At 43.3% G+C, this 15,777-nt stretch overlaps 1 long non-coding RNA gene across 1 annotated transcript, besides 3 other annotated features; it reads left to right on the forward strand.

Moving 5' to 3' along the window:
* Nucleotides 2,316–3,515: an enhancer, noted in NCBI's record as "BRD4-independent group 4 enhancer chr1:233859728-233860927 (GRCh37/hg19 assembly coordinates)". NCBI's record gives its function as "activates an origin of replication core promoter dependent on BRD2, P300/CBP, MED14 and CDK7 cofactors, and independent of BRD4, by STARR-seq in HCT116 cells {active_cell/tissue: HCT116}" and the evidence as "EXISTENCE:reporter gene assay evidence [ECO:0000049][PMID:35650434]".
* LOC124904552 (uncharacterized) lies at nucleotides 2,799–13,498 on the forward strand. The gene is made up of 2 exons (XR_007066947.1): nucleotides 2,799–3,257; nucleotides 8,516–13,498. It is a non-coding gene; the product is annotated as an uncharacterized LOC124904552 (long non-coding RNA).
* Nucleotides 8,382–9,152: an enhancer, noted in NCBI's record as "NANOG-H3K27ac-H3K4me1 hESC enhancer chr1:233865794-233866564 (GRCh37/hg19 assembly coordinates)". NCBI's record gives its function as "activates a minimal SCP1, AML or CMV promoter by ChIP-STARR-seq in primed H9 embryonic stem cells {active_cell/tissue: H9 hESC(primed)}" and the evidence as "EXISTENCE:reporter gene assay evidence [ECO:0000049][PMID:30033119]".
* Nucleotides 9,153–9,924: an enhancer, noted in NCBI's record as "NANOG-H3K27ac-H3K4me1 hESC enhancer chr1:233866565-233867336 (GRCh37/hg19 assembly coordinates)". NCBI's record gives its function as "activates a minimal SCP1, AML or CMV promoter by ChIP-STARR-seq in naive H9 embryonic stem cells {active_cell/tissue: H9 hESC(naive)}" and the evidence as "EXISTENCE:reporter gene assay evidence [ECO:0000049][PMID:30033119]".
* Nucleotides 13,499–15,777: the final 2,279 nt, after the last annotated feature.

The raw sequence follows: 15,777 nt of genomic DNA on the forward strand, positions 1-15,777 counted from the left end.
AATCCAATGGGGTCCAGGTGCTTATAAACCTTTCTTCATAGGAGAAGGGGTGAGGGGAATGCAGGAGTAAATAAATTTTAGGGAGAATGAATGCACCCAATATTCAGATAGGGATAACTAAATAATTCTCTTAGGGAATTGAATGGGACTGGAGAACAAACACAGTTCAAAGTTTGTCTGAGCTCTAGGTTTGGTGTTTAATTTTTAGTCTTTTTCTCTGTGATGAGTTTTAATCTTCCCTGCTTAATGAAATTTCCAGGAAGGGATTGCAGGCAATTGGATTTCTCTTTGGAAGTCCGGTTTCTGGGCAGATAAGGGAACTTCAGAGAATAGCCTCGTCATCTGCTTTGGGAGAGACAAAGGTGTGAGAGATGGGGGTCGGGGAAAGGTCAGAGGGATCTTGAGACTTTTTGTTTAGTTCCATATTTTGGGAAGTCATTTCCTGAGCCCCAACACTTTTTTATAAAACCAGATTAGTCACTCCAGGCTGCTTTCAGGGCTGCTGTGAAACAGGGATAAAAACAGTTATATTGGTCACCTGCAGGGAAATTATGCCAGGAGGCAAGATGCATATAATTGGCCATGGCAATTTCCAAAGATATGCTACAAATAATCTTTCTCAATTCCATATAGGTCCTTGAATCCTCAGATAGTCCAGTCAAAGCTGATCCTTTGTCCTTGCCAGTGACCGGCAGGTCTTTCCAGACACTCAGAGCGGCCAAGACAGCATTTTTAAAAGCGCCACTCTATATTTAGCAGTCCAAATTGCCTATGGCTTCACTCTCCCTTTGTACTTGCATCACCTAAAAAAGCTCCCCTTCACATGCAAGGTCAAAGAGACGAGGCAGACATTGATTTCTGTTGCCTGTAGAACCCAGAATAACTCTACTACTGAAAATGTTGCTCTAGGGTGGAAACTGAAAAGAATGGATGCTATTCAATTCAACTTTGGCAAAGTGCAGAGGCAGGAGAGAATTTTAGCAAGGTTAGTGCACAGAGGTCCTGGCTTCCCGTGTCCAGAGAATTTCAAGTTCACGTCAGGCCAGGATGATGCCTTGGGATCAGAGGTTTGGCACAATGCCCTGAAGTTCCCACTCTTTCCCGTTTACTTATTTTCTCTTCTTTTGTTCTCCCTTTTCCTCCTCCCTTCTTTCTTTCCTTCCTTCCTTTTTTCCTCCCTTCTTTTCTCTTTCTTCTTCCTCCCTATTTTCCTTCTACTCAGTTCTCAGTTAATGAGCTTTTACTGTTTTTGAGCAAATGGGCTCTCTGCCTGATGTAGACAGAAACCAAGAACCATGGCACCGGCTTTTGAGAAAAGGAAGGCTTTATTGCAAAATCATCAAGCAGGAAGACAGGAAGTAGGTTCAAATCTGGCTCCCTGACTTGGGATCTGGGGAAAGTTTTAAGGGATCAGAGGCTAGGGATAGAATTTAGGAATGCTGACTTGACAGGGTCTGATTGGAAGTATGCTGAGACAGATCTTAGCACAAGATCTTCCAGGCCAATGAACCTCTTGCTTCTGAAAGAGTTCCAGTATTCAGGTTCTGGTCATATCCTAGTCTTGGTTCTGAGAAAATTGGCTGGTTACGGACATTATCAGAGGTCAAAGCTTTTTCCCTTGAGCATCCTTGGGCTACATGACATGCAGTTATTTCGCTCTGTTATACCTACAAGGTAACTTGACATGTTGTTGTCATGAGAGTAGGCCCAGTTTGTTCTGGTCCCACAGTTACATTATTAAATTTTGTGCAGTGTGCGAGGCATCAGGATTATTAAAGTTATTAATAAAAATCACTGACTTAAAAGAGCTCACCTATTAGAGGGCTGGACACACAAACAGGCCATCATAATACAGTGTCATACTAGGATGACAAAGAAGGAGAAAAGGCATTCAGCTAGCCTGAGAGGTGCCAGGGAAGGCTGCCCAGTTAGGATAACACGGAGCTGTGTAACTCTTCATCCCACCAGATAAGAGCTGGCCCCGTGAAGAGCATGCCCCTTATTTCTCCTTTTTTAAGCTTGCATGGCAAATAAGAAAGCCATGTCAGCGGCACTTCAGCCTGCTGCATTCTGCGTCGAGCTCCTGTCTGATTTACCACCTTAGCCTCCTTTCACTGTTGGCATTCTCATTCCTCTGGCCTATGGTTATAGGGTCACACCATCTTCTTTGAGCTTAAGAAAAGGTCTATAAATAAAATAAAATCTCAAAAGGTAAATAGTAATTCTGCATTACACGAGGCAAATATTTAAAACATGATCTACTTTTTCTTTCTTCTTTTTTTTTTTTTTGAGACGGAGTTTTGCTCTTATAGCCCAGGCTAGAGTGCAATGGTGCGATCGCAGCTCACTGCAACCTCTGCCTCCTGGGTTCAAGTGATTCTCCTGCCTCAGCCTCTCCAGCAGTGAGAGGTGAAGCCCGCTGGGCTTCTGGGTCAGGTGGGGACTTGGAGAACTTTTCCGTCTAGCTAAAGGATTGTAAATGCACCAATCAGGGCTCTGTGTCTAGCTATAGGTTTGTAAATGCACCAATCAGCACTCTGTGTCTAGCTAATCGGGTAGGGTACTTGGAGAACTTTTGTGTATAGCTAAAGGATTGTAAATGCACCAATCAGCACTCTGTGTCTAGCTAAAGGTTTGTAAATGCACCAATCAACACTCTGTCAAAACGGACCAATCAGCACTCTGTAAAACGGACCAATCAGCACTCTGTAAAATGGACCAATCAGCTCTCTGTAAAATGGACCAATCAGCAGGATGTGGGTGGGGCCAAATAAAAGCAGGCCACCCGCGTCAGCACCAGCAACCTGCTGGGGTCCAGTTCCAGTCTGTGGGAGGTTTGTTCTTTCGCTCTTCTCAGTGACTCTTGCTGTTGCTCACTTTTTGGGGCTGCGCTAATCTTTATGAGCTGTAACACTCACTGCGAAGGTCTGCACTTCACTCCTGAAGACAGCGAGACCACGAAGGGAGACCACCGGGAGGGACGAACAACTCTGGAGTGCCAGCTTTATGAACTGTAACCCTCACCGCGAAGGTCTGCAGCTTCACTCCTGAAGTCAGCGAGACCACAAACCCAGCAGTAGGAAGAAACTCCAGACACGTCTGAACATCAGAAGGAACAAACTCTGGACACACCATCTTTAAGAACTGTAACACTCACCACAAGTGTCCGCGGCTTCATACTTGAAGTCAGTGAGACCAAGAACCCGCCAATTCCGGACACAGTAGCTGGGATTACATGCGCCCGCCACCACACCCAGGTAACATTTTGTATTTTTAGTAGAGACGGGGTTTCACCATGTTGGCCAGGCTGGTCTGGAACTCCTGATCTCAGGCGATCCACCCTCTTCAGCCTTCCAAAGTGTGGGATTACAGGTGTGAGCCACCATGCCCAGCTCTAAAATTATTTACCTTTTCAAGGAATAAGAGTGTTGGGAGTTAATGGTGTGTCTGGTGGTTGCAATAAGTCAAAAACTGCTGCAGGCTGGGAGCGGTGGCTCACACCTAGCACTTTCGGAGGCTGAGGCGGGTGGGTCACCTGAGGCCAGTGTTGTAGGAAAAAAAGCCAGGTTCTTGTCACACGACCAGGAAAAGTTAGGCACACAGACACTTTGAAGGGGAGAGGGAATGGAATTTATTGTGTGAAAAGGAAGAAAACCTCTCAGAAAAGTGAGAGAAGTTCCTGTTAACGGGGCCCCATTTCACAGTTTGAATCCCAGGTTCTACCCAGGAACAGAAGGGGCCAGCCTCCCCCAGTGCAAACAGCGCAAATTTCCCGAGACTCCACCCCATCCCTCCATCACGCAGGCCGGTGGGAGATTCTCTGGGGATATTCACCGTTATTTTCCTCCTGCAGCTATCATTCCTCCCTCTGAAGAAGTACATGTCACTGCCATCAGAGTAAGGATAAGGATGAAGATCAATCTTAACTGCTTCCTGCTGACAGGGGGCACTGTTTTGAGGAAATGGTAGTCAGAGCTCCCTCAGAGGTCTATGTAAGGGTCCTTGGCAGAAGGGGCCAGCATCCAAGGCTTCAACTGCATGACCATTTGGAGTGGGATGGCCTGAAGGCAAGAAGAGACAAACCGGGTTATTAGAAAACATGTATCAAAACGAAATAAGGTTTGGGCTGGGGGCGGGTAACGACAACTCAAAAATCCCAAGGCCTTTTACCAGTTTGCACAGGGAAAGAGAAGCCAAAGGCCCGTTTGGGAGCATGTCAGGTTTCTGGGTTTTCTTCCACTGAGCCCAATCCTAAGGCAACCAGTTTAAGGTTTGGGAAGTTAACTGTTTCTAGTTTAGAGGATGCATCTGAGGGGAGTGTCCTGTAGTACGGAGACACAATTACTTATCAGTAAAGAGGGGACAGAAGAGGAGGAAGGAAAAAAAAACACTCATTTTCAAAGGAGTCCCAGGGGTTCAGGATGCATTTGAAAGCAGTTACAGACTGAAGATGAATGGCTACTCCTCTAGAAAGAGTGCAGCAGGTGACCCTGGTTTCTTTCTCTTTCTAGCAAAAACTTGGGGTATGTGAGGGAGGGAAAGTGAGGCCTTCCTCTTTCTTTGTTCTGACCTTGTATCCCTGAGTCCTGGTGACTGCGACAGGGCGCCACACATAAGCGTTAAAGCAGCTTTCACCATATTAACAGGGGGCCTAGTAGGTGGGAGGATCTGCTCTTACCCACATATGCCCAATATCCTCTGCAGTCAATAGCCTTGAATTCCCTAGACTTCATTTATGGATAAGTGTGATACTAGTGTGAGCTTTATCCATGAAATGGGAAGCTTGGCTTAATTGGCAGCAATCAGCCATGTTCACCTGTGTTGTGCGTTTTAATTTCTGTTATTATCTGCCTCTGGATCCCTCAGATACAGTTTTCTTTCCTAGAGCTTTGACTTGAAGCTTGACATTGAGTTTCAGACAAAAATTTGTCTCAGGGGGTTTGCGTGGACTCCTTATCGTAATCCAAATGCTAAGGTGAGCTGTGGAATTGAGTCCTCCTCTAACAAGGGAGAAAAAAGGGTGTCTTGTGACATGGCCAGATAACTGGTGGCTATAGTTGTGCTTTCTAAGATTTGGGTGTGTGGTGCTTGGCTTTGGTTAACACTCCTGGTCTTACTTTCCCAAAAAAAAAAAAAAAACCTCCAGGGATGGGCATCCTATTTATTCCCATCACCTGATAGGATTTGCAGGACAATTGTTTAGAACTAGAATATTGATCCATATTTCTACATTACCCATCCCTTTTGTTCTTTCTGAGCTACAGCCAGAGATTGCTGGTTGGTTTACAGAACCAGGTAGGGTTAGTCTAAAATGCAGGCAAAAACTTAAAAATAACTAATGAGTTTAGAATTTAATGACAGATGTAAGTTTTGAAACATAATTTCTATCTCTCAGGTCCTCATTTTTGTTAAAAAAAATGAGAAGACTGTGTTGTTTGCAAAATAAATTTAGGCTTATACTTGGCCTGATTATTTGCATAAAGTGCAGCAAGAATAACTATTTCTACATAGGCCTTTTAGACTGGCTTTGATGAAACTCTGTTCCACAAGGAATCTCAGATAAGACCTTTTAAGCTGAGCCCAGCCATGGGTTTACAAGACCTTTGAAGCCAAGGCCAGCCATGGGTTTGTATCCTCAAATACCTGTGAGTTGGATGATCCTCTCCTCTAAAGGTCCCAAAATAAACGTGGAGCTCCTGGGCCTGTTAGAAAGTGACATGCTTTACTAACCACAGGCCAGGAACCCTGTACAGGGACTGTGTAGACAAGGGTATGAGGCCAGTTTTCTCAAGGGCCTTTTATTGGCTCTGCAAGTTGAGCTTGACTCCTTAAAGGGAAGCATACCCTTCTAGTCAAAGCCTTGGTAAAACAACCAGTTTCTCTAAATTGAGTTTTTCTCTAAAAAGAGAAAAACCAGTTTCTCTTGCAAAAGAAAATGGATTCTTAATTGCATTGATGCAAACAACTATATTGCCATAAATTGAGAATACTCACGATAGTTTCCAAATTCTACAGGAACCAGGCAAAGAGAAACAAACATACTCCAAATTTTGTCCACAGGAGTATAACTTACTCAATTATTAAAGGCCATAAATAGTTCAAAATAAGTTTCCTTGACTCTGAAAAACAAAACAAGGATTAGCAATATTCCAAGCAAAAGTTAAAAAGATTGGTTCAGCATTCTGAATTCAGTCTGTCATTTAGTTAACTCCTTGTTTTGCTTGATACTTGTCAAGATTTTAGCTCTTCATGAGTCCTGTACATTTTTCTTTTATTCCATTGTCACAATCTCCTAAGTTATCAGAAACCTGTATTTGAGAGCACCTGTCCAAGTCCTATAGCTTACTATAAACCATCTTTTGAAAAGGATTAAAACAAGACAATGATCTTCTGTGAATAACAAAATGTCCAGGGTAGTTACAGTTGGAAACACAATTGAAAAGGAAGTTTGGTTATCTCTGCAGTTTACAATAAATTAACATAACCTTAATCATGGTTAATAGCATATATTTTAGACATTAGAATTTTAGAAATCCCATACAATTTTGGAACTTACGTTAGTATCATTCACCAAAATTTAACCTAAAGATAATTGAACACCATTTTGGCAATCCCATGTACCTAAACATGTCAAATAATCCTGTTTACCTCTTTTGGATACTCCAGGGGCCCTCTGAAGCATCCAAAAGCCAGGGGTGAGGAAAGACAATTTTGAAACTGAGGTTTGATTTTGGGAAGCCTGTTAAGTGTTAGAGATTTAAAATACTTGATGTTAGGAAATAGAATTCCAGATTATCATAAATTATTTATTTTGCCAAAATGATGACTCAGAAATTTATAAAAAGCAAAAACTTTCTATAACCCTTTAAAAATTTTGCTAGCACAGATTCGTGCCTTAAGAGTACCTTATTGTGCCTTTATTTCAATGTTCAATTTACAGAAAAGCCATATAATACCTTTTCGAATTTAGTCCATATGTTCACACACAGAATTTTTGCAAGATTAATTTTGACAGTCTTGCCACCACTTATTCAAATTTTTAGCTTTATTCTGTCTAATTCGAAACAAGGCTTTAACCCTAGGCAAGAATTTACATTTCCATGCCTTCTTATAGTCTTACACTAAAACACGTTTTACTGTTCCTGCACACCTAGCATATAAATTTATTTCCAGTAGTTTCAATTACATGTTATAATGGTAACTCCTAGCAATTTTTAACTTTAATGTAAAACTTGGCAAGTTGTTTTGATTGTGTGCCAGGTGCAGCGAAGGTTTTACTCCTTCCAGCATAATTAATTGTGTGATTAGTTCTGTATGTCCTCAGGCCTTACCAAATGTGGAGAAGGCAAGTCAAACAGTTGTCAAAATCCAAAAAGCAGCTTATAACCTTAAAACATTTAGCAAACCCGGCACCTGACCTGCATAATTTAGCCAATCTATTTATATTTTGACAACATCTGCTTTTAGCCAGTAATCTTTAATACTGTTTTTATTTCTCAAAGATTAAAGTCACATGAACTGAAAGGTACCACAGCTTTTTATCTTCCCTTTAAAAAATATTTGATCTAAGCGCTTATCTTCCTTTAGGTCAATTAGAGGTCTTTTTATAGTCATCACACACAACACATATATAGCTACAGAGACAGGCAGAAGAAAACCCAGTCACCATAAGATCTTTCATTTGCCAATCTCCTAATTGGATTATTGGCCTCTAGGTGGAGCCCTTTAAGAAACAGGGCTGGCGGCCGGGCGCGGTGGCTCACGCCTGTAATCCCAGCACTTTGGGAGGCCGAGGCGGGTGGATCATGAGGTCAGGAGATCGAGACCATCCTGGCTAACAAGGTGAAACCCCGTCTCTACTAAAAATACAAAAAATTAGCCGGGCGCGGTGGCGGGCGCCTGTAGTCCCAGCTACTGGGGAGGCTGAGGCAGGAGAATGGCGTGAACCCGGGAAGCGGAGCTTGCAGTGAGCCGAGATTGCACCACTGCAGTCCGCAGTCCGGCCTGGGCGACAGAGCGAGACTCCGTCTCAAAAAAAAAAAAAAAAAAAAAAAAAAAAAGAAACAGGGCTGGCTGGGCGCGGTGGCTCACGCTTGTAATCCCAGCACTTTGGGAGCACTTTGGGAGGCAGGTAGATCAGGAGATCGAGATCATCCTGGCTAACACAGTGAAACCCCATCTCTACTAAAAATACAAAAAAAATTAGCCAGGCGTGGTGGTGGGCGCCTTATGTAGTCCCAGCTACTCGGGAGGCTGAGGCAGGAGAATGGCGTGAACCCGGGAGGCGGAGCTTGTAGTGAGCCGAGATCGCGCCACTGTACTCCAGCTTGGGCGACAGAGCGAGACTCCGTCTCAAAAAAAAAAAAAATAAGAAACAGGGCTAGGAAAACATGCAGCTTCTAAGGCCTAATAAACAGCCATAAATGGGGCAAAAAACAGATTTTGAGAGGTATCTATCCACTTTTAATTTCTGGGCTTCCGTGAGGAAAACAGAGGTCTCTCTTCTCTCATGTAGGCACTGAGAGTGGCAAGGCCAAATGGAGAAAAATAATTCAGTCGACTGAGAAAAAAACCTCTTTCTAGCAAAACAAGATCCAAGAAAAGAAAAACGTAAAGGCCTTTTAAATATACTTATGACTTATATCCACTTATAATTAACCTGGGTGCTCTTTAAGAAAATCTTTTTAACTCTCTTATAACCTTAATTTAGCCACGCCAGGGGGCCAATATTTCTGGCTTTCAAACTTCATTAAAGGCTCAGAGAAAGGAAAATTCAAGGCTGTTTGTGGAGGGGAAGAGAACAGAGAGCAAAGGTTGCGTAGATACCAAACCAGAAAGGACTCATTCCCTACACCAGGATTGAACCCCAGGCCACCATTGTAAAATGGCGGAGGCCAAAACAAAACCATTGTCACGTGGTTGCAGGCCACACTCCCAAAGATGTGAAACAAGATGGAGGCCTGCCACAGAGTTTGCTGCGGACTATACAGAAAGACATGGAAAGCACACCAGATTGGCTACAACTCAAGACCAACCTCATAAATCCTTTTTCATAATTAAAACTTTACAGAGAATATAAACAGTGATCTCTATTATTTTTGGCACATCAAAATGTCTTCCAAAAGGGAAAAAAAAACTCACTTAAAAGTCAACTGCTGACAGGGTAGGGAAAAGAAAAAAGATGCCTGGGGAAGAACGTTTTATTCTTTTGCAAATGAGTTCCTCCACCAGGGAGAGTAACTTAATTGCTGTCCGATGGAGTGGGACCCCTTGGCTGGGGGAGGGGAAGGCTCTGTGGCTGTGTGGCAGGGAGCTGGCCAGCCTGCCTTTGGGCACCCTTGGGCCATGCATTCCAGCCCTGGCCAGGAGGGGAGCAGGAGAGCCACCATTCACTGATCTATCCCACGTGCACCTGCAGCTGTTGTGGTGGGGTGGGGTACAGTTTTCTCTATCCTCAGAAGAGGTATGAGGACAAAAAGGCTTAGAAGCAAAAGAAAAAAATGATCTTTTGGTTTGCGTGATACTCACCCTCCCTCACGCCCTATGTCTGGATGCCAAAAATATCATAGAAAAAAAAAACTGCGTTCTTGTCACACGACCAGGAAAAGTTAGACACGCAGACGCTTTTAAGGGTGAGGGAGAATGGAATTTATTGGGTGAAAAGGAAGATAAACTCTCAGCAAAGTGAGAGAGGTTCCTGTTAACAGGCCCCCATCTCACAGATTGAGAAGGAACCACGCTCCTCCCCCTGCAAATGGCAGGAACTTCCCAAGGCTCCACCCCATCCACCCAGTGGGCAGGCCAGTGGAAGATTCTCCAGGCCCCCTTATCTTCCTTCTGTATCTCAGGAGTTTGAGGCCAGCCTGGCCAACATAGTGAAATCCCGTCATTACTAAAAATACAAAAATTAATAGGGCATGGTGGCACATGACTGTAATCCCAGCTACTCAGGGTGCTGAGGCATGAGAATAGTTTGAACCTGGGAGGTGGAGGTTGCAGTGAGCCAGTGAGCTGAGATCATGCCACTGCATTCCAGCCTGGGTGACAGAGTGAGACTCTGTCTCAAAAACAAAAACAACCAACAAGACACTGCTGTACAAGTGAACTGAGATATCTAGTACAAAATAAGCTTTGGGCCAGGTGCAGTGGCTCACACCTGTAATCCCAGCACTTTGGGAAGCTGAGGCAGGTGGATCACCAGAGATCAGGAGTTCGAGACCAGCTTAGCCAACAGGGTGAAAACCCGTCTCTAGCAAAAAATACAAAAATTAGCTGGGTATGGTGGCATTCATCTGTAATCCTAGTTAGGAGGCTGAGGTGGGAGAATCGCTTGAACTGGGGAGGTGGAGGTTGCAGTGAGCCAAGGTTGTGCCACTGTACTCAGCCTGGGTGACAAAGTGAGACCCTGTCTCAGAAAAAAAAAAGAAAAAAGCAAGCAAGCTTGTTTATCCTAAGAAAGACTTTTTAATAAGAGGGTTTGCCTTTGGTTAAAAGCTATCTTAAAAATTAGATCTTTTAGTTTATTTGTACAGTCATAGGTTAGATCTGATACTGGTAAGACTGATCTGGGGCTGAAGTCTCCTGTATCTTATGAATATCTTATGATTCTGTGAGTGAATTCTGTGTGAATGCTGATATATGTAGATGTCAAAAAAAGAGCCAAACTCTGTAAAACATTTGAAGAGATATATTCTGAGCCAAATATTAGTGGCCATGGCCCAAGGCACAGTCTCAAGAGGTCCTGGGACATGTGCCCACGGTGGTTGGGTTACAGCTTGGTTTTATACCTTTTAGGAAGACATAAGACATTAATCATTGATACATGGTTTGGTCCAGAATTGCAGAACAATTTGAAGTGGAGGCTTACAGGTCATAGGTAGATTTAAAGATTTTCTGATTGGCAACTAGGCACGGTGGCTCATGCCTGTAATCCCAATACTTTGGGAGGCCGAGGTGGGCAGATCCCTTGAGACCAGGAGTTTGAGACTAGCCTGGCCAACCTGGTGAAACCTGATCTTTACTAAAAATACAAAAATTAGCCCAGCATGGCACATGCCTGTAATTCCAGCTACTCTGGAGACTAAGGCATGAAAATCACTTGAAACCTGGGAGGCAGAGGTTACAGTGGGCCAAGATGGCACCACTGCACTCCAGCCTGGGCAACACAGCAAGACTGTCTCAAAAAAATAACCAAAAAAACACAAACACGCAAAACCAAAAAATTTTCTGATTGTCAATTGGTTGAAACAATTAAGTTATGATCTGAAAGCCTGGAATCAACAGAAAGAAGTGTCTGTGTTAAGAGAAAGGGTTGTGGAGACCAAAGTACTTATTATGTAGATCAAATGTCAGAACTGGCCACTCTTAGAGATAATAAGTGGCAAATATTTCCTATTCAGACCTGTAAAAAGTGCTAGACTCTCAATCTCTTCAGGATTGGGAGGGTCTGGAAGGGAAAATATTTCATTGTGTTAATAGATTCTTTACAGGATGCAAATCTCCCCCCAACAAAAGACAACTCCACAGAATCATTTCAAAGTATGGCAAAGAAACATATTTTGTGTTAAAATATTTTGATTTCCTCTTTATCCGTCATGTGATGTTATGCCAGAGTCAGGTTGGAAAGTATTATATAGGGTTAAATGCAACCCATCTGGCAAGATTTTATGGTGTGTAGAGCATGACTCCCAGGCCGCTTAGATAGAAATTTGGGCAAAAGGCCGGGCGCGGTGGCTCACGCCTGTAATCCCAGCACTTTGGGAGGCTGAGGCGGGCGGATCATGAGGTCAGGAGATCAAGACCATCCTGGCTAACACAGTGAAACCCCATCTCTACTAAAAATACAAAAAATTAGCCGAGCGTGGTGGCAGGCGCCTGTAGTCCCAGCTACTAGGGAGGCTGAGGCAGGAGAATGGCGTGAACCTGGGAGGCGAAGCTTGCAGTGAGCCGAGATCGCGCCACTGCACTCCAGCCTGGGCAACAGAGACTCTGTATCAAAAAAAAAAGAAAAAAGAAAAAAATTTGGGCAAAAGAGAAAAAAAGGACAGAGTTTAGTTCTCATAGAGATGGGACATTTTTCTGGAAAATGAACTTTTCTTAGCTCCAAAGTTCCCACTTAATTCTGCCTAGGAAGATTTGGTTTCTTTGGTTTAGAAGTACATCCCGTTTTGGGGTAATTACTCACTCCATCCAAGCTTTAAACTTAAAGTTCAGATTCTCTATCAGTTCTGTTGTGTATTGCCTGTCTCCTAGGACGGCATCTGTGTACAGCAGGGTTCACGTCCTGGTGCTGTCCTCTGGGTCCTACCAGCTTTGATCTGCATAAACTCTTGATCTTTGTAAGGTGATCTCTAGTCCTTCCGCACCTGCTGCAGATCTCCTTGGTCCCACCTAGTCTTCCAGAGGGGACAGTGCGCCTATTGCTGATATCATTTTTTCTCTGTCAGGTGTGGGACCACAAAGCCTGCACACTCTGCAGCATTCTCTTGCCGGCCTCAGGCCTCTTCCAATCCACCAATCCCCTCTACATTCCTTCGACCCTCACTAGACTTGCGGAAACACCTGCCTCTCTCCTCATTCAGGCAGGCCAGAGAGGTACTATTTTGAGCTTTTTTTCTCTGCAGCCTACCAACTACCAATTCTAAGTCACTGTCCCAACCTGTCATAAGTATGGGGAAGCTTTTGAGATGGTTTCCTTCCGATAGTTCCAAACAAAAAATAAAAAACAAGCCCTATCAATTCTTTAATCTATCATCTGCTGCCCCATCCCTCATACACACACCTACACATATACACAAGGGCCAGGGTGGCTGAGGCACTGGGTCCCTACTCAGTCTACCATCTGCTCCTTAGCTTCAAATAGCTCCTGCATCCTTGTGCAGGTCAGAAAAAGTTTCCATGCCTTCCTTTTGTAAGAGGTGTTTGAACCAGAGCGACTCCATCTTGAATAGGGGCTGGGTAAAATAAGGCTGAGACCTACTGGGCTGCATTCTAAGTCACAAGATGAGGGACAAGGTCAACACAAGAGTGTGTTCCCCTCACTTATGACAGGTTGGGACAGTGACCTAGAATTGGCAACAGGGTAGGTAAAACAGCATGTGGTAAAGAAGTCAGCGAAAACCTACCAAGATGATGAACGTGACCTCTGGTCGTCTTCACTGCTCTGGTCGTCTTCACTTCGCGACCTCTGGTGGTCTTCACTGCTCATTATGTGCTAATTATATTGCATTAGCATGCTAAAAAACACTCCCACCAGAGCCATGACAGCTTGCCAATGCCATGGTCAACGTCAGGAAGTTACCCTATATGGTCTAAGGGAGAACTCTCGGTTCCGGAAATTGCCCACCCCTTTCCCAGAAAACTCTTGAAAAATCCACCTGTTGTTTAGCATATAATCAGGAAATAACCATAAAATAGACAACCGGCAGTCCTGAGGGCCTGTGGAGTAGCCATTCCTTATTCCTTCACTTTATTAATAAATAAACTTGCTTTCACTTTACTCTATGGACTCACCTCAAATTCTTTCTTGTGTGGGATCCAAGAACCCTCTCTTGAGGTCCTGATTGAGACCCCTTTCCGGTAACATTTTGAGCCAGGGAAATGTTCGAACATGATATCCTCATCTTTCCTACCTATGTTTAGTTTATAAACCTAGATTCCAGGAAGTTTTGGCTCACTGGGACTTGAAAATCTCTTTTTCTCTCAAAAAAGTCTAGCTCTAGCTTTTTGCAACTATTGTCTCTGAAAAGGGCTTCAAGAGTGCTTTGAATGCCAAAAGGGGGCCATTTAATTCCCTTGCTCTTGTTTAGATTTTATCTTCTTTTGAAGCAAGGAGCATAACTCAGCCTTAATGTCTGGACAGCCTCAGGACAGCAAAAATGCTAGGAATAGCAAATGCCCTAAGGTTGTACTTCAGAATAGCAGCTCTCAGACTGGACCTTCCCCACCCATGGCCAGCTGACCCCTACCTTTTGTTCCCATACCCTTGTCTCCCCATCTAGGGCTCCTTCGCCACAGGAGGACCCCTTCATGAAGTGGGGAGGTGGCTGATGGTGTCAAGATGCCCAATCCAGTACTCGGCAGCACTTCCTCCATCAGAAGAGGGGAAGGGGTATTATACAGCCAACATCATAGCTTTTATCTAGGTCAAAAAATGCATGTGCCTTCCATATGTTAAGGCAACATTCAAACGTATTGGATAGAAATACCAAAGTTTAACTGGCTGAACCAACAGAAAGACAAAAGAGCTGCTTAGGAGAATATTTGAGAAACAGAGAATGATATGTTCAGTTGAGAAAGGAATGTCTAAATAAGATTGCTAAGTTAGATACAGGAGCAGTTCCCTTTCTACAATAATGCCTCGGCATAACTTCTCTAACAGGTTATTAACATTTATCTTTTCTGAATCACACTGACTGGAAGCAGTTAAGTGCCTCTATCAGCTGTGAATATTAAGCAAATATGTGGTGACAAAATACAATAAAATGCTACAGGCCTGTCTGATGATGGCTAGTTTACAAAAACAGAGCTCTGTTTTTGTTTGTTTGTTTTTTATTTTTTGAGCCGGAGTCTTGCTTTGTCGCCAGGCTGGAGTGCAGTGGCGTGATCTTGGCAGAGCCCTGTTTTACTGAAACATTAGCATGGTATAAAAACCGAAGCAATGCAAATTTTATAAGTTTAGTACACATGTATGTATATATATCCATGTATACCTATATATATATAAAATGGTATATATATCCATGTGTATATACATACATGTGTACACACACACACACACACACACACACTTCTTTCCTTTCTCACATATGTAGAAGGTAAATCTCCAAAGTATAGTGGAAGTTACTGTTGAGGAGAAAGAGAAGCAAGTTGCAAGGAGACTGGTGTCATTTACCCCTTTTAACCTGCACATCTCAAAAGGTATCCTTTGATTGGTTCATTTCCAGGTGACTCTGCGTGAATGCATACTGATTTTATAATCCAGCTCTCCTTTCTCCTCTGGGAAATGCACCTTCTTCTGTTCCAAGCATATTGATTTAGTGGGAGCAGCTTTGTCATTAGAGAATACACCTGGGCAAAGGGAAGAAGACGGAAGAGGACTGGTGACCGTCACCAACTCAAGAGTCTTGCTTTAAGGATTTCCCAACTGAAGCCAGAGGAAAAAAAAAAACAGCGTCTCTCTGGGGCTAAACCTAGGAATCCCAGTTTCACCACTTTTATCTGTGTGACCTTGGGCAACTTATTTTGACTCTGTCTCTTAGTTTCCTTCTGTAAAATAGGGATAATAGTAGCACTTAACCTGATAAAGTGGTGAAATTTTAGTGAATACATCTAAAAAATTTAGAACAATACTGGGCACACAATAAACTTTCAGTACATTTTGTGAGAAATGGTAGCTGCCATTTCCCATCCCTGTTCGCTGCCCATTGGAGAAAGATAATCAGAGCTAAGAAAAACTACAGTGGAGAAAGTAAGAGGCCAGAGACAGACAAAAACAGATAGCAATGCCTTACTACCACCCTGTATCCCTGGGTTAGCTGCTCCCTGAGGCAAGCCTCATCCCTGACTTTCCTGGGGCTATGTTAGGTACCCCACAAATTTCTGCTTTTGTTCCAGTTTTGTACTTTTCATTCTTTTAACTACTTACAAGTTGTACCTCTCTTAAATATGCTTTAGTATTTAAAGTGGGTATCCCTCAGACACCATATAGTTGGGTCTTGCTTTTTGGGAACATGATAACAATGATGATGATTAATAGCTCTTTTACATTAAATTGTT

This window comes from Homo sapiens, chromosome 1, assembly GCF_000001405.40.
Source record: "Homo sapiens chromosome 1, GRCh38.p14 Primary Assembly".
NCBI lineage: Eukaryota > Metazoa > Chordata > Mammalia > Primates > Hominidae > Homo > Homo sapiens.